This window comes from Homo sapiens, chromosome 11, assembly GCF_000001405.40.
Source record: "Homo sapiens chromosome 11, GRCh38.p14 Primary Assembly".
NCBI classification, from domain to species: Eukaryota; Metazoa; Chordata; class Mammalia; order Primates; family Hominidae; genus Homo; species Homo sapiens.
The window spans coordinates 82,097,742-82,117,570 of NC_000011.10; the positions used below are offsets into that span (position 1 = coordinate 82,097,742).

The 19,829-nt window shown below is 36.7% G+C and overlaps 1 long non-coding RNA gene across 1 annotated transcript in view; it reads right to left on the minus strand.

Annotated features, from left to right (window-relative positions):
• MIR4300HG (MIR4300 host gene) overlaps positions 1-19,829 on the minus strand; it is a 524,063-nt gene that overhangs the window by 217,891 nt on the left and 286,343 nt on the right. Inside the window, exon 4 of the long non-coding RNA NR_120571.1 lies at positions 2,233-2,466. This is a non-coding gene — a long non-coding RNA (MIR4300 host gene). The remainder of the gene's footprint in view (positions 1-2,232; positions 2,467-19,829) is intronic.

A 19,829-nucleotide genomic window follows, 5' to 3' on the forward strand; every position in this document is an offset into this window, starting at 1 on the left:
TGTTTCAGTGTACTTGAGGGTATGACAAGAGAGAAGCTAGGGCTCATCTGCCAAATGCAGACAGTAGCAGCGCTAGTAGATCTGAATCGTGGCATATAGTCTTGTGCTAGTGCTTATTAGGCACTGAAGACTTTTATATCCAGACACTTAAAAAATCTTTGAAGTCATACTTCTTAAGTGCTCTGAAAATAGGAGCATAAGAAAACCCAGGTGGTAAAATACTTAGTCACAGATATTATTTTGGATTCTTCCCCCATTCTAAAATCCCAGAGAAATCCAGAGGCTTATTTGATGCCTGAAAATCTGGTGCAGAATTGATCAAAATACTATTTAAAAGGTTTTCTTTAATTCCAATAGTATCTGTTTACTGTTCTGAGCCAAACTGAGCCTAGATATCTTTGGATATCTTTCAGAGACTCCCAAGTTCTCCATAGTCCATCCATCTGAATTCCTGTGGGAAAACAGCACTGATAGACAACTGCAGCTATCTTTCTAACACCTATCCTCTTCCCCCTTAAAGTGGGAGCCTTTTTACTCCTCAGACCACCTAGGCCTTCATATTTCTGAGCCTCAGAGCTCCTTCTCTGACACTTCTACTCTTTTTGAAAGAAGATATTATGATCTAATCCACAAGACCCAACGCTTTAATTGCCCTCAAAGGTGGAAAGTAAGGGGACAGAGAAAAAAATGTAGCTTAATTCATCTTATGTTTCTAAAGCAGGAAAAACAAAGCACAGGATAGAATTGGAGATCATTATGTTAAGTGAAATAGGCCAGGCATAGAAAGACAAACATCACATGCTCTCACTTATTTATGGGATTTATAAACAAAAACAATTGAACTCATGGAGATAGAGAGTAGAAGGATGGTTACCATAGGCTGGGAAGGGGAGTGGAGAGTTGCGGGGGAGGGGGAAATGTCTAATGGGTACAAAAAACAGAAATAATGAATAAGATCTAGTATTTGATAGCACAACAGGGTAACTATAATCAATAATAAATTAATTGTACATTTCTAAATAACTAAAAGAGTACAAGTTAACATCTATTTTTAAAGTACTAGAAAACTATCAGATAATTGCCATCTCCAGCCGCCTCATCCCTAATATTCATTCAAATACCAGCTCTTGCAAAATCCACTCCCTCAGTGTGTTCCACCTCGTCCCACCTCCTTCCAGCTTCCTTGCCAACACCCAAGGCCAGGTTGTCATCTGCCCTCAGGTGAATAACTTCCACAGCCTGGCAAATGGTCTCCTCCACTGCTGCTCTTCTGGGATCCTGTCTCCATATCACAATGAAAGCCATTTTTCCACTGCACATGTTCACCCCACTGCTAAAAATCATCTGCCCCTTATCCTTCAGATGAAGTCCAATTGCCTTTTCTTGATGCAAGTCTACAATTCTCCCCCTGGCTTCTCTCCTGTCATTCCCTCAAGTACATTCAAACCAATATACATGCTTTCATTCCTTCCAAAAGAGCATATCCTCTCTTCTCTTGAGAAAGTTAAAGTTGTTCTCTAGGCCAACCACACCCTCATTCTCTGCCTGGATAATTACTTCCCAGTTCTCCAGGCATCAGCTCACTCATCACTTCATCGAAGAGAATTCTTCTGGAATGGTCAGTGGGATGTGTGTCATGCCAGTCGTTCTGTAATGCTACATATTCTTTTCACACTTCATAATTATTTGTTTGTTGCCAATCTTCATTAGAGTGTAAATGTTATAAAGAAAGGGACCATTCTGTCTTGTTTGCTTAGTCTAGTCCCTAATGTCGTGAGTGTTGAATGAACATCCATTAGATGAACGCATGAAGGAACAAGTAGTGGAATGCCTGATAGCCTAATTATGACCTTGCAGGTGTTACGAGCAATATTCAAATTTAAATCTATTTTAACTTGCTTATTTCTTTCAATTGTGCTCAATTTCTGAGCTAAACTACCACATAAAGGCTTCAATTTTCAGTCAAGAAAAAACAAAACACACTTACATATGTTCCATAGTATTTTTAAATTTATTTTGAATTAATTGTGGAGTAAGTATTTCTTCAACCAGTGACCCTATTTGACCCTATGACTCTCTGTGTCAAAAAAATTGAATATAAAACTGGAGACCTATAAGCAGCCTGTTTGTATGGAAATAATGCCATTGATCAGACAATGCAAACAGGGGAAAACATCTGGAATAAGTTTGTTATTAGCAACCTGAGAAACCAAATTCAAAAAAGTGACTTACGATTATGGAGTTAATACAGTGCCCAAGCGTGTTGTTGTTGTTGAGACGTAGATTCTCTCTTGTCATCAGGCAGGAGTCAATGGCGCGGTCTCAGCTCACTGCAACCTCTGCCTCCCGGGTACAAGCGATTCTCCTGCCTCAGCCTCCCGAATAGCTGGGATTACAGGTATCTGCCACCACGCCTGGTTAACTGCAAGACTTTTGATCTGGCAATCCTTCTCCTTGAGATGTAACCTAAAGTAATTATTCAGTTGTGAAAAATAAAGCAGTATTTCCTGTTCATTGCAACATTAGCTATAAGTATAAGGGAAATATTTTATCAATTTAATTTTCCACCATGATTGTGCAGGACTTTTAATATGAATTGACTGATTTAGCAAGAACTTCAAGTGAATTAAAATTATGAAATTAAATCAATAAATTATAACAAAGTAAGCAGTAAGAGTGCTTCCCAAAATGTCATCTGCAGACCTCTTATTTCAGAAGCACTTTGTTAAATTGTAATAAAATAAGCATTAAAATAAGAATGCCTCACAGAATGTCATCTGCAGACCTCCTATTTCAGAAGTACCTGTTTGTTAAATATGCAAATTCTTGGATCCTAATCCACAACTATTGAAACAGAATCTCTAGAGGTGGAAATTTAGAAATATGCTTTTCTAAATGTGTAACACATTATCCTTAATATGTAATTTTATGTAAAAAATAAAACAACTATTTTAGAATAATGTGAACACAAATACCATAGAAAACACATCAAATGAAATACTTTTGGCTCTAGTCTTCACAAATGTATGAATGGAATTAACAATCTTTATATTTTTAATCTAATCTGTAGCAAGCCTAGACCAAAATATCCTGAAATTGAGAATCAGAAAATATGGGTCCTACTCAACACTTAATCACTTACATTTAAAGTGTTTACTTAATCTCTGAGACCCAGGAGCCACAGGTGCAAAATAGAGGAAATAAACTCACCTCACCTGTCATGAGATGATGTATAAGAAATTCATAGGTTGTGATAGGACGGAGGAACCACAGGCTCTCAGGTCAGATAGACCTGTGCTTGGGTACTAGCTCTGTCATTTAATAGCTATGTGATTTTGCATAAATAACTACATATTTTCTCACTCTGTTTATTCATCTATAAGATAGATTCAATAATATCTACTTTACAAACCTATAGAATAATGATATGAGACAATGTGAGTAAAGCTACTTGTTGGATGCTAGTTATCATCTCTCTGAAAACAAAAGGAACTTTATCCTCAGCCTTGCCACTACCTAGGTTAGATTCAAACATAAAAACAAAAGGTTCAGATTTATTTTACACTAATGATCCTAGGTTTCCCAATTACATAATATTAGACATTCATTTTGATTACCTATCTCCCAAATTTTAAAGCCTGTAAAGGAGAAAATGATCAGCCCAGCACAGTGGCTCACGCCTATAATGCCAGCACTTTGGGAGGCCGAGGCGGGCGGATCACGAGGTCAGGAGTTTGAGACCAGCCTGACCAACATGGTGAAACCCCGTCTCTACTAAAAATACAAAAAATTAGTTGGACGTGGTGGCAAGTGCCTGTAAGCCCAGCTACTCAGGAGGCTGAGGCAGAAGAATCGTTGTTTGGACCCGGGAGGCGGGAGTTGCAGTAAGCTGAGATCGCGCCATTGCACTCCAGCCTGGGCGACAAGAACAAAACCGTGTCTCAAAAAGAAAACAGAAAAAGAAGAAAATGATCTTTATTTTTTCCCTTGATGTTCACTTATTTTCAAATTCTTTCTATAGTGACTTTCCCTTTGAAAAGCCTGCATCATGACTTTCTTTAAAAAAGTATGTCATTAACAAAATATGTCTTTCATAGGATATTCTTAAGCTAAATTTATTTTAACTACTCTACCTGGCAGGAAGTTGTGCTCTAATTTGAAATTAGATGACAAACAGCAAGGGCATAGCACCTGTGGGCATGCCTTCCAAATAATAATTGTGAATCCTAACTGATCAAAAGCAAAGCAACAGAGAGTATGGCCATAATATCACCTATCTATACTTTCCTTCCTTCATGCAAAAACTCTTGGTTTGTCCACTGTTCAAGTGGAGCATGACTAAAACCCTATCACACAGTTAATAAGACATTCATTGCAGAACTCTTCAGCAGACTGCTTCTCATTCCCACTGTTTTTATTTTATTTTATTTTATTTTATTTTATTTTATTTTATTTTATTTTATTTTATTTTATTTTATTTTTGAGGAGGAGTCTCACTCTGTCGCCCAGTCTGGAGTGCAGTGGTGCGATCTCAGCTCACTGCAAGCTCCACCTCCCAGGTTCACACCATTCTCCTGCCTCAGCCTCCTAAGTAGCTGGGACTACAGGCGCCCACCACCACGCCTGGCTAATTTTTTGTATTTTTTAGTAGAGATGGGGTTTCACCATGTTACCCAGGATGGTCTCAATCTCCTGACCTCGTGATCTGCCCACCTCGGCCTCCCAAAGTGGTGGGATTACAGGCGTGAGCCACCGTGCCCAGCCCGTACCCACTGTTTTTAAACAAACCATATAAGAAAAGCCTTTACATCCTCAAGGTGATTCCCCAAGAGGCTACAAAGAGAAGGACCACCTTTTGTTCACATGGACTTTGAAATGTCACCTAGAAACTGAAAATGTTCAGAGAGGGAACAAAATCTACCCAAGATCAAACAAATCTTTTCAAAAGACTTGCAGCTCATATGTTTCATTCCTTTAATGTGTCGATTTAACAAATACTTTTCAGTGTCCATATGTCTACATTGAGCAAGACAGAGTCCCTCTTGTAAAACTTATACTCTAGAGAATTCTTTTTTGTGCACTGATCTCTACTTTGAAGAAAATATATAGGATGTCATCACAGAGAGTAAAATGAACAGGTAGGATAATATCTCAGAATGGCTGATCAGGAAAAGTTTGCTGGAAAAAAACTCTGCTTGAGCTGAAACCCAAATTTTGAGGAAAGAAAAATAGCTATGTAAGGATCTAAAGAAAAAAACATCCCGAGCAGCAGGGAACTCAACTGCAAAGGTTCTGAGGCAGGAATAGAATGGAGACTAATGTGAAGGGGGAGTGGGGTAACAGAGATCACAAAAATACCACTGCTCCAAAAGAATATAAGCCTTCATTCATTGCTGGTGGAAATGCAAAATAATGCAGCCACTTTGGAACACAGTTTGCCACTTTCTTCAAAAACTAAACAGACTCTTACCACATGATTCATCAATCATACTGCTTGATGCTTACCCAAAAGACATAAAAAGTATGTCTACACAAAAACTTGCTCATGGATGTGTATATCAACTTAATTCATAATTGCCAAACTCAGAAGCATCAGGAGGCCTTTCAGTAGGTGAATGGATAAATAAACTGGTGTGGGTGAAATATTATTCAGCACTAAAAAAGAAACAAGCTATCAAGCCATGACAAGACATGAAGAAAATTTAAGTGCATATATTATTAAGTGAAAGAAGCCAATATGAAAAGGCTGCATGTCATATAATTCCCACTATATGAGATCCCAGAAAATGCAAAACTATGGAGACAATAGAAAGGTGAGTTGTTGCCAAAGGTTGGAGGAGAGGGAGGAATGAATAGGCAGAGCATAGAAGATTTTGAGGGCAATGAAATCATTCTGTATGACACTACAGTGGTAGATACATGTCATTTATACATTTGTTAAAACCCATAGAATGTGCAGCACCAAGACTGAACTTTAATGTAAGCTATGGACCTTGGATGTAATGATGTGTCAATGTAGGTTCATCAGTTGTAACCAATGTACCACTCTGGTGCAGGATGTTGGTGGTAGGAGGACTGTGTCTATGTGGTAGAAGTTTGAGGGGCATGTGTGTCAGGAGATACATAAGAATTAATTGCATTTTTCACTTAACTTTCCTTTGAATCTAAAAATGCTCTAAAAATAAAGGCTATTAAAAGGGAAAATATTTAAGAGCACACGGTTGATAATGCTAATGTTGTCATCCCCACCTAGGGTGATATGAGCTGCCTAAATCACACAGTTGGGAAGTGTTTAGCTGGAATTAGAGCTAAAGGCCTTTGACTTCTGAACCACTTCTGTTTCTAAAAAGAAAATAATCTATGCCAGAAAATTAATGGTATTTTCTAGTTAGAGGAAGATTCTCATTCCCTACTGAACTATTCAAGAGGTCATGAGCGGTAATAGATTAATAACTTAACATTCTTGTTGTCACAGAAACATGGAAAATCTGGAAGCCAGAGTTAATTTTAAAAAGAGGGAAGACAATGGGATTATTGCAGAGATTTAAAATCCTATCTCATTTTGTTTTCATATAAAAAAGGAGAGCTATATTTCCCATCCTGCTTTGTAGTTTAGTGGGACCATGTGACTAACAGCATGAAATAAGGAAGTCAGACATGCTACTTACAGATCGTGGTGCTTAAAACTTATTTTGTAAAATATCAGGCTCTTTCTCTTCTTTTGACTATTGCAAAATGGATTTATCTCTGAGATATTTTAAACACTAAGTTAACATCTGCCTTAATTTTGCAGATAAGATCACTAGCTGTCATTATATATCATCAGTATTTAATCCTGTAGAAATCTCTGAAGCCCTAGTAGATTAGCAAAGCCATTATATGGAAGATACCTGGACCTCTAAATCACAGTGAGAAAATCCACCCACTAAATCCCTCATCAGACTATGATATGAATGAATATTAAAACTTAATGGCCAGCTGGGCGCGGTAGCTCACACCTGTAATCCCAGCACTTTGGGAGGCAGAGGCGGGTGGATCACGAGGTCAGGAGATCGACACCAGTCTAGCTAACATGGTGAAACCCCATCTCTACTAAAAATACAAAAAATTAGCCGAGTGTGGTGGTGGGCACCTGTAGTCCCAGCTACTTGGGAGGCTGAGGCAGGAGAATGGCAAGAACCCGGGAGGCAGAGCTTGCAGTGAGCCGAGATCAGGCCACTGCACTCCAGACTGGGTGACATAGTGAGACTCCATCTTAAAAAAAAAACAACAAAAAAAGACTTAATAAGGTAAACCGTGGAGATCTTGGGTTTTGTTAGAGCATTAGAGCAGTTAGCTTATCACAAAAGGATGTTGGTTTACTGTATATCTTGCTGACTGCAAATTAAAAGATGCCGATTTGGGTTTTCTGCTGGATGGTCCACCGTGTATTTATTTTTCATTTGAATTATTAGGCTAGCTAAGGTGACACATAGATTTCTTTAAATGGATTATATAATTCAGTGCTTACTACTGAGCTTTCACATAAATATGCAAGACATGTATTCACCATCCTTGCTTTGCTATAAAGAAATACCTGAGACTGGGTAATTTATTAAAAAAAAAAAAAAGAGGTTTAATTGACTCACAGTTCTGCAGCCTGTACAGGAAGCTCAGAACCAGAATCTGCTCTGGGGAGGCCTCAGAAAGCTTCCAATGACGGTGGAAGGCAAAGAGGGAGCAGGTGTCTCACATGGCAGGAGCAGGAGGAAGAAAGATTGGAGTGGGGAGGTGTCACACACTTAAAGAACCAGATCTTGCTAGTAGTACCCACTCACTACTGCAAGTACAGCACCATGCGATGAGAGATTCGCCCCCACGACCAAAACACCTCCTTTCTGGCCCCACCTCCAACACTGGGGATTACATTTCAACATGAGATTTCAGCAGGGACATCCAAATATATCAACTTAACATTGAACTAAATAGAACTCATTGAATTAAATGTGTGAGAAATTTGCCCGAGCTCTTGAGGGCCATGTGGAAAGTGAAAGCACAGACGTAGGATTTAGTTTCAACATTGCCCTCTTTGACTTTGTATGAATTAGTAACTTCACAGGGTGGAACTGTACTAATGCAGCAATGAGACTTGTAGCTCTAAAACAAATATATGATGGAAATCCAAGCATCCTTTATTCTGCTCTAAAAACCTTCATTTCCTTCAGTTTGCCAATACTTCTAAAAATACTTTGCATTCAAATTTTAAACCACTCTAAGTAAGTATTATTTCCATCTTGTGTCTGAGCCAAATCATATGCCATAGACATCAGTTTGCCTCTTTGGGTCACGGTTACTTCATTATCATAGTAAATGCAGAAGGCTCTTTCTCTCACTAGCTTCTCCTGAGATTTATTACAGGAGGTATTTTTTAGAACAAGTCCCTTAACATCTGCCTAAATTTAGTAGATGTGATCATTAGCAGTCATTATATCTAATCAACATCTCATCCTCATTAAAATAATACATTAATAGGATGAAATGGAAGTAAAAACATAAAAATGTGGAATATTCATTTGCCTTGAATAAACATTCAGCAGCAGAAAATTTGCAGACTTTTAAAACCTGACTCTAAAAAAATACATACCCTGTGAGTTTTAAGCCCTGCCCTGAGTTTTTCATTAGTAGCCTTTACCTTCCACAACAAATGGGTGCATTGAGTCCCAACTGAAACACAATCACACAGTATGCATCCAGCTATTCATGTGTGGAATTAAATTGCATTAAACTGTTTGTTCTAGGTCAAGCAAATTAATATTCTGTGATATAATTATTATTAATTAATGGATAAAATTAATTAATGGATAAAAATTAATGGATAAAATTAATTATTTCAGCCTTGAACTGCTTATACTTTATTCCTAGTGACTTCTATATGGGGAAATTAGCTAATTTATTGCTGTTCAGTCAATATTTTCAAGAGTACAATTCACCCCAGTTCCTAGGATCTATGTATTGCTTGGCTTGTGTAATGCTTTGTTATACGTAGATAACAACTCCCAATATCTCAACAACTTGAATATCCTGAAATTTGCAATTGACACTGAGATTGTCTTACTGATGTTTATGACATTTCTTCATCAATGCCGTAGGTGGAAATGAACATATAACATAAATACTTGCAGAAATCATCACTTTGCCCCATTTCTTCCCAATATTATGTAACACCTGACTTGTAAGCTCAAAAAAAGTATATCTCACCCTCATCACCACTGCATGTGGGTGTCCCTTTTCCCCATTCTTCTTTCTCAGAATCTTTCTTCAAGTTCCTTCTACACAGCCCCCATTCTACTTACATTTTATTTTACAAACTATATTTATTTTCTCAGGTCTTCTATAAATGCCTCTGCCTTGCATCTTTTAAAGGAGGACGCTATCATACATGGTATTTTTCCAGTTATAGAAAGGTTAAGAAAAGATCAGACTTCTATGAGGTTGTAAAATGCAGACTCCTCTGCCCAAGTTCCACTAAAAATTACGTGTTAACTACAAGGGAAGTGGTCTTAATTTTGGCCATATACAATTTAAAAGTACTTTATTCACCTACACTTTCACATAACTGAAACTTTCATTTAAATTTAATGATTTTAGTGCCATTAAATCATTGTTTTAAACATTCAGTGGAAAATGTTTCTGAAATGAATTTCAAAAATCCTGATATTACTATGCAGGGATGTGGGATACAGTAAGAATCAAACACATTGACACTTATGACCACAAATTAATACCCAATCTCCTAAACATGCTAAGCATCAATCTTTTCATCAATTAAATAAAGAAATTGGAGTAAAATGCTCTTTAGAGCCTCTTAAGATTTAAAATTAGCAAATGCTGACCATGAGTTTACCTTTCATCAATGTCACAGACACATTATAAAGACATATTTTTGGAACCGTACTTGCTGCATCTCCCTGATTGTAACACTGGGTGGATGGAAGAAGAATCTGGTCCCCCGGCCATAAGTAAACAAGCCTTTCAGAATTATGTTGAAGGTAAGAACAGATAAACTGTGAATTTAGGAAATTAATGTGTGAATTTTAGGGTCTTTGTAACCCATTTGGAACTTGTTTTGAAATAGTTATTTGGTAACGAGGCAGAGCCCATTAGCTTTTGCTTCTTAAAAGTCACCCCCAAACTTAGTGGCTAAAGTAACAATAAATTCTTATTTTTCACAAGTCTGAGAATTCGCTGAAAGGTTATTCTGATCTGGACTAGTTCATTTGGTGCTGTTTGGTCCTGCATAACTTCATTCCCAAGTCTGGGACCTCAGCCAGTAAAGTCTGTTTGACTGGTATAGCTGAGGTTACTTTCTCACACAGCCTCTTCTCTAGCTTCTAGTTTCCCTACATGAAGATGGGATGGTTATAAAAAAGATAAGACTAATGCATAAAACACTTCTTAGACCTCTGGTTGTTTCACATTTGCTTCTGATCCATTGCACCAGATCAGGCCATGTGAACAGGACCGGATTCAAGGAGTGGAGAAAGTGATTTGATCTAATTTTTTATGTGTATAAATTTATGGGACCCAGGGTAATTTTGTTACATGCATAGATTATGTAGCGGTAAAGTCAAGGCTATTAGAGTATCCATTACCCTAATTATGTATGTTGTACTCATTAAGTAATTTCTCATGACCCATCCCCTTCCTACCCCCTCAACCACCTGAGTCTTCATCGCCTATCATTCCATACTCTGTGTCTTTATGTACACATTATTCAGCTCCCACATTAAGTTAGAACATGCAATATTTATCTTTGCATCTGACTTGTTTAAATAATGGTCAATGTTGCAGATGATGGCCCATGTTACATTAAGATAAGGGTCATTGTTCCACCCATGTTGCAGCAAAAGACATGATTTCATTCATTTTATGACTGAATGGTATTTCATTTTGCATATATAATACATTTTCTTTACATAATCGTCCATAAATGTACACAAAGATAATCCATATCTTTGCAATTGTGGACAGTGCTGCAATGAACATACATGTGCAGGTGTCTTTTTGGTAGAATGATTTATTTTTTTGGATATATACCCAGTACTGGGATTGCTAAGTCAAATGGTAGTTTTGTTTTAAGTTATTTGAGAAATCTCCAAACTGCTTTCCATGGTGGCTGAACTAATTTGCATTCCCAACACATAAGCATTTCCTTTTCTTTGCAGCCTCGCCAGCATCTGTTATTTTTTGACTTTTTAATAATGGCCACTCTGTCTGGGGTAAGATGACATTGCATTGTAGTTTTAATTTGTATTTCTCTGATTATTAGGGATGTTGAACATTTCTTCATATACTTGCCAGCTATTTATATGTCTTCTTATGAGAAACATCTATTCATATCCCATGCCCACTTTTCCCCAAAAAGATATGTAGGCATTAAAAAAACCTAGCTCCAAACATCACCTGGCCAGAATTTGTTCACATTCCTCCCACATGCGAAATGTGCTTTTTCCCATTCTAAGACCTAAAAAAGACTTTTCTCATTACTTCATCAGATTGAAATCCAAGGCCTAATCAAAATTAAGTCCAAATGTGGATAAGTCTCCATATTTGCTACCCTTTGAGTATAATTCCTCTCATCCAGAGACTTTAAACTATGAAAGATGAGTTCTATAACACACACCGAATGAGCATACTATGGTGAGGTGGTGCTAGACAACTGACAATAGATACAGTCATTTAAAAAGAAATACATAACACGCCTATATCAATCACTGGTCTATAGAATTTCTGAAATCCACCTGGGCACACATTATAAGATCACTCTGTTCTGTGAGCAGAAAATAATACTTGAGCTGGGCCCAGTTCTGCTTTGTGGCAGTGTCAGTATAGCCCATTGGTCTCCAAGGATTTGAGCTACAGCTTCTAACATTGTATTCCTTCACATAAGAAATGCCCCATGCTTGATGCCAAGTAGCTTTCTTGGCCTGGGTCATTCCATTAGCAACGAAGAGTCCAGACGCCTTCTTTTAATTTGAGATATCTCAGTCCCTTTAAGTCTAAACTACTACTACCCCCTTAAAACTTCATGGGTTTTCTATCTATCAGATTATATTCCACTCCATTAAATGAAAACTAAGCCTAAAATACTTTATGATACACTTGTTTAGACTTGCTTATACTTTTATTGGGGATTAGGCTTGAAATCTTTAGAAATCTTTTCTTTCACTGAAGAATTTCCTATCATTATAAAGCCCTCAAAGTCTTATAGCCACCCATAATCTGATATTCATCCTGAGATTATGTCATCTACAAAAGGATGAAGAAACTGTAGAAGGTACAAGAGAAGCAAGAATGACCATTTTTCTCACGGGCTTATGTATAAGAGAAGCTGAGATATCATGATTACAGGGTAAAGTAATGACTCTGGAACTGAGAAATCTTCTATGAGGGAGAAGTAATTATGCATCATATACAAAATATGCAGTTTCCTCTGATTAAGAGGAACAATTTTTATATGTACATAATGTCAAGTAGACCTTGGCTTATGTTAGAGAGTATGTAGAAATAACTGATTTATTTTGTCATTCATAAGAAATTACCTTGGCCAGGTGTCGTGGCTCATGCCTGTAATCCTAGCAATTCTGGAGGCTGAAGTGAGAGGACTGCTTGAGCCCAGGAGATTGAGGCTGTTCGAGTTGCACTCCAGCACTCCAGCCTGAGAAATAGAGCAGGATTCTGTCTTAAAAAAATTACCATGGCAAGTAGTCTCCTTTTTCATCTAGAAGGATGTCTTTAAATACAACAGACTAAGAGAATGTTATATTTTGTGACTTGAGGACACTGGGAGACAAAGCTGTATTTACCTCCTTCACATGCGCACCAATACATTTCTCCACATTCTCATTAAATATTTAATTGCTTTACCATGGGTTCAATATTTGTATTTAAATTTACGTAACACATCTTAAAAAGTAGCATATCTTAAAATATAATACTAGCATCAGTGGTGACACGACAAATGAGGGTACCCTATTGTTTTGTAATATTTAGAAAATGCAGCTTGATCTTTTTGCCTCAAATTGTGATCTACAAACCAAAAGCATTAGTAAATTAGTAAATTAGTAAAAACATACTCTCTGACTCAAACCCAGATCTACTGAATCAGATTATGTATTTTAACAACATCCTCAGGAGTTTTATGTACATAAAAATTTGAGATACACTATCCTGAATATTGAAAAAAGTAATACCAGATACCTAATATGTAGTACCTGCTTCAGAGGAGTTTATTGTTCAAAGGAGAGACTATGCAAGTAAACCAATAGTTATCTTATTGTGTGATTTGTGAAGGATCAATATTAATTCCTTTATTGAACCCAGGTTTTGGTGGAAGGAAAGTGTGAGAGAAAACAGGGGGAAAATACTATTTAAATTGTTATTCATGCTTATTATGCAGCAAAAGCGGAAGTATGATTACGGGGCTCCCTCTGGGTGTTATGAAAATGTTCTAAAGTTGACTGTTGTGATAACTGCACATCTATGAATACACTGAAAACCACTGAATTGTACCCTTTGGGTGAATTGTATGGTATGTGAATTATATTGCAATAAAACCCATTTTAAAAATGAAAAAAAAGTATGAGAAAGAAAGAATACAGACACAAGTATGTGGATAAGAAAAAGACAGAGAGCTACAAAATCATGCAGCTATTTCTATTAACAAGAGGGAGATTTCATATTGGGGGGAGATATTTATGCATTAAAAACCCTAACAAACTAACGATAAGTCTACTGATCTGCTCCAACTGACCATGAGATGTATGAGGAAAAAAAATGTTTATCTTTGAAATCCAATGAGATCTGTTTTCTTCTTAGTGGCAACTGCTGACAGATAAAGTACATAGGTGAAGATGGAACTAAGGACCTTGAAACAAACAAAGAAAAAATGACATTCCAGCGTTCACTTCACAGAACAAGAAGGCACAAGGTGACCAGAAAAAGCAATACAATGCACTCTGCACAAAGACTTCCTTCCTACTCACCCCTTGTTAAGAATTCTTAGCTCTTCACAGAGAAACTAGGGATTCAAACCAGAATTGACTATCTTGTAGTTCATTGGATGAACACAGGCATAATGCATAAAATGAATAAATTGTAATCATTTCTTCATTCCCAGGGAAGATTCAGTCACTATTAGTATATCCATGATAGGTAGGTAAATAGATAGATAGATAGACAGATAGATAGATAGACAGACATATAATATTCATGCAGCATATAGCTAATACATATCACTATACACTGAAGCGCACTTCTTGAATACTAGAGGCAAGATTCTAATATACATATTAATAGAGAGAAGATTGGTTATACAGTCTCTCTGAAAGATAGAAACTTAGCCAGGATTATTTCATGTAACACCAGATCTTACTGAATTTTCTGGGCAATTTTATGTCATCTGAACCTAGTACTACTCTCACGGGTATCATATTCACAATTCCCAAACAGTTGTTTATCATTTACAAAAATTATGCTCATCACAATTCTTAGGTCATTTTGCCAATGTTATGTAACTCTCTTCCTGAAGCATCTTGTTTTTCTTCTCCCTATATCTCCCCGCATCAGTGGGTGTAGGAAACACAAGCATATGCTTGGAGCACATACTTCAGTACACCACCTACCAACACTGATTCTTTAGAGAGGAAATCAGAATGCATTAAAATGTAGGTTGGCCTATTGCCCAAGACATTTTTTTTGTGCTGTATAAATTCTTTTAAGGACTGGCCATGTGCCAGAACCTATTTCCTTGGCTGGGAAATCTGAGTTTGAAACTGTGTGTGTGTGTGTGTGTGTGTGTGTGTGAGAGAGAGAGAGAGAGAGAGAGAATACATTCATGTAAATAGAGATCTTTTATTTTCCTACTTGTCTTAGCATGACTTTTAGTATAAGTATTTATCTTGACTCTTATGTAAGAAGTCTTACTTATTGTGAGAATGACATCATCTGCGTTTCACCCCCTTTCCCATAACAGATTCCTAAAATAACCTAAGAAAATCATGCATCAGTATATGATATGGATAATATATAGGGTAATGGAGATCTACTCTTATATCCACTTTGTATTTCTGGTATTCAGCTCTTTACATTTGTAATAGAAACTACTGCATTTATCTTACAGGATTGTTCTAAAACTAAATGAAATTGCATATATGAAGAATGGAGCATCATGTCTTTCTCAGACCCTGCACTGAAAAAAATGTTGGTTCCTACTACTGCTCCTTCCTTGCCCAGAGAATGAGGCATTTAAGAGGTACAGGGAAGTTGAAAGAGGGTCTGGAATTTCTTCTGCTGCTGTAGACATAGTGACCCATGAAACTTGGGAGATCCAGGTTCTCTCTATTCATTTGCTTAAGGTAAAGGTTTTGTGTGCCATGTACCACTCTGAGTACTAAAGACACAAGTGTGGAGAAATTCTTTCTCTCTTAGTATATGGTTAAGGTTTCTAAAACCATCATTATTTTGTTAGAGTGTGATACACATCCTTTCACATACCTCACCAAGCATGCTGGGCATTAGTTTCTTGCTAGAATTAAACTCTGTCCCACAACTCAATGTGCTTAGTAGAGACCATGAAACTGCAATCTGATTTTTGTAAGCCTCTTCTTTTAATATCTACACATGGACTACTATATTACAATACACTGAACATTACAGCTTTAACAATAATAAAGTTGAAAATTATATGACAGAATTTGAATTAATCTCAGGCAGATTCTTTTTAAGCCTGCCAGTCTTTTCTTGATTCCTTCATGGTCTTGTCAAGGAAAGATGGTTTTGAGTGACCAGATACCTCCAAAATGATTTCCCTCTGATGTTCTCTTCCTAAACCGCTGATTTAAAATATATGTTAAGTAAATTTTCTGAACTTGGATTTATGGTAGCAAATAAAACTATCAATATAAAAATTAGAGAAGTATATTTTCTCCAAACTGAAATATATATGCTTTAGATTTTTGAGGTTTTATATTTAAAAACAGTAACTTATAAATTTCCATTGTATATATTAGAAGAAAAAGTTATATATCTCAGGACAAATAATAAAGGATATAGTACTGCACCTACTTCAAATAATATATAACTATACAAAAATTACAGTTATATTCAAAAGAAAATTGTTTCAGTGGGAAAAAATAAGAATTTATTAAAATTTTAAAACTCCATTATTAAGAAGTTTTGGGTCATGTGGTAGATAACTATTGTTGGTGTTCCACAGTATTTACACACCTGCAACTGAAGAAGTTTCAGCTCACACCTGCAAGTTCTCCAGAGCACTATCCTTGAACTAAACATGATCCAGTTAATGTCTTGCTTGATGTGCCTGGAAAGTTATGCCTCACAACCCTCAACCCATAACCAGTGATTGATCAGGTATGGATACGAAAAAAAATTCTTTTCTTCTTTTTCTCTAAGTATAACATAACACAAAAACAAACAAACACACTATTCTGTGGTGTACTTATTGCACCACAATTTAGACTACATTGTTTTGTTTCCCCCTACCTCATCTCCCTTTAAGAGTTCTACAGAGAACACTCCCTTAATCAATTACTCGCACAAGAAAACCATCTCAGATTCTGCCTGTAAGTAATCCAGTTTAGGAACCTTTGGTATTAGGATGCAGACTCTGAAGAAGAGAACATCAAATTAGATTATTCACTGGCTGGATAGCAATGAGGTTCCATCGTTGGGGGTAAGGAGAGTATTGATAAGTCCTGACATGTTCTAGATGTGCCAACATTGAGATTTTTATCTCAGGTGAACTGGAATGAAATACTGGTGAAGGACATGCTACGCTTTATGAACCATAAAATTGCACTTAAAGGTGAGGGAAAATAGTGTTTATAAGGACTTTGGAAGTAGGCAGCTGTTGCTGAGTACCACTGATGCATTCAGGAGAGAATTTCACAAGCAAAGGTAGAATATTAATCAAAGGACCCAGAAGATAGAGGAAAGAAACATAGAGAATTATTCTGAGGCCTTGTGACCTAATCAAGGCTCTTCCAACATTTGCATGGCTGAATATTTAAATTGCTTTGAGCCAGCAACTCCTTTCAATTTTCTCTTTTTGAGCAGGAATGTCTTTAGTGATTATTCAGTGTCTCCTCTACTATTACATGTGGGATGTGCAGGGGTGAGGGACTGATTATTTGTCTCTTTAGTTTCACAGATCTACAGTTTGAGATAAACTGCATTTGAAGAGCTGTGCTCAAGGAACTGTATCTGAGGAGCCTTATCCCTACATGGACCTTTAGGGATTCTGGACCTTGAGCTGCTTCTATAATGGTGCCCTTAGGAAGGAGTGAGTACATTTTTGTTTCAAAGTGAGAGAGATACAAATCATATGGAGTACAGGGGCTAGTCTTTAAGATGAACTTCAATGACCCTGACATTCTGGTATTCATATCTTAATGTAATGTCCTCCTGCTAAAGAAGGGAACAGGGAGAGAGGTGGACCTATTGACTTATGTGGGATTGTTGATTGTATGTCACTTATGAGATCAACTTACAAAAGGAATATAGCTTCCATCTTTCCATTTTTCTATGTCATAAGGCATCTTTGTGAAGAGGCACATGAGGCAAAAACACAACAAATGCCAACAACCACATGCATGAGCTTGGAAGTAGAATCCTCTTTCTCAGTTGAACCTTTGGAAGAGAACATAATCCTAGCAAAATGAGAACTTCAATGGACCTTACTAAAGACCTTGACATAGAAGAATCAGGCTAAGCCACACGTAGATTATCCATCCACAGAAACTGTGAGATAATAAATGGTCGTTGTTTTATGTGACTACATCCTGGAGTAAATTGTTATGAACAAGCATATAAGTAATACAATTGCAACTCTAGTGGTTACAATTCAGTTCTAATCTTGTTGGACTTCTAATTGGTATGGTTTAGCATTTTATTCTTCACAGTCTCAACTCTTTGGAGATTTATGGCCCACCTGTTAGTTGCCTTCCTCATTTTCCCCCATCACTTAAATGTTGACTGTTTCCAGAATTCTGTCCATGGTTCACTGTTCTTATTCTTCATGCTCTCCTCAACTTCCTCCCCATTCTTTAACAATATACTGAATGCTAATGCAGGAAAATCTCAGCCCACACAGTGATTCTGAGTTTCAGACTCAATTATTCAACTCACAAATAAAAACAAACAAGCAAATGAAACACGTGTTACAGGCACTAAAAAGCACCACATCCCAAACTAAATGTATTATCTTCCTTAAAACCAACTGCTGATCATACATTTTTGATTGCAATTAATGCCACACAGCATATCCCATGTCACAAACTTTGAAGTAATGATAGAATTCTCAAGCTTGAATATTAATTTCTTCTAATTGAACACCATGTTATGTTGAGTTTACCTCAAATATATTTCTCAACACCATCCTGTTTCATTGACCTAACATCCTAACCACAACCATTTCACCTATGATGGTGAGTTTAGCAGAATTATCCTCACAGTTAAACAGATTATACTCCCGGTTATGCATATAGGAGTAATTATGGTCACCCACTGATGCCCTTTCTGTCATATTTCTTATTTGTTTCTGGAGCACTTTTATTTTTCTAAATTTGGGAAGTTTTATGAAAATATTTTTGTTTTTTTAAGGTGTGCTCAAGTTAGAACCAAAATTAAGTTCTACTCTTCTCTTTTTGTTCTACATTCCTTCACAATTCTCAATGTTTCCTAGGGCAAATCTATCAGCTGTCTTGTTTAAGCCACCCATTAAGAAGGATGTCTTAATAACAAAAGTGTATTCATTGTGACATGTTCCCAATGATTTCTCAATAATCATCTTGCAATATTAACCCAATCTGATGCCCAAACATACAATGTATTTATCTGTTAATATTCCCTCTTCAGGCACATTTTCTTGTTAAACTTGGTGACGCTTAAATGTATTTCTCATATGAATTCTCCAGGTAATAAATTTCATGAAACATCAGGTCACAATATTCAAATCTTTCTTCACTAGAACTTCTGGGAATATCTGAAGTTTACAATAAGCAATTTTTACATGGTTACATTTCAAAATTTTAGATAAATATATAAATGCATATGAATACATACATCAAATACTAGTTTGGTTAATGTCATAAATGCCATACAGAAGTTTAAAATATTTGAAGTACACTTTATTCATAAGCCCATGAACTACACCTCTAAATTCTAATTATTTTTCTGCACAGGAAAAAGTTACATGTTTAACATACAGCCAGTATCAAAGCTGGCTATTAAATTCTTTCAGATTCATCCCATACAATTATAGTCTCTCAATCACCTTCTAGGAATCTATAGACAATGTATCCTCATCAGCTGCCTGCTCTAGTCACTTGACTTCATTACATCTCCCAGTAACTTTACTATGTACACTAGAGTTTAACAGTTTATTTCATTTGCAATTACCTTATCATTTCTCTTTCACACCTTTTCAATATTTTGCCCCCTCTTTTTTTTTTTCCATTTTAACAGGCACTTTAACTTTTTCTTGGGCCAGACTTCCTAGGTATTTCTCCTAGTAGCTTTTCTTATTGTAACAGAACTATGTTGCAGAGCTGTTTTGTAGGCCAAGATAGAGCAGTCTATATAGAGGTAACAAGCAACTTTATAATTTCAGAGGCTTACTGCAACAAAATCTGATCACTCACTCCTGCCACCTATCTATCATGAGCCACTGTAGTCACTGAAATGCTCCAGTCGAAAGAAGCTTAATTTTAAGCTCTGTTTTCAAGATCACTATGAAAATGAAACAGGCATGCCGCAAAGCACTCACCCAG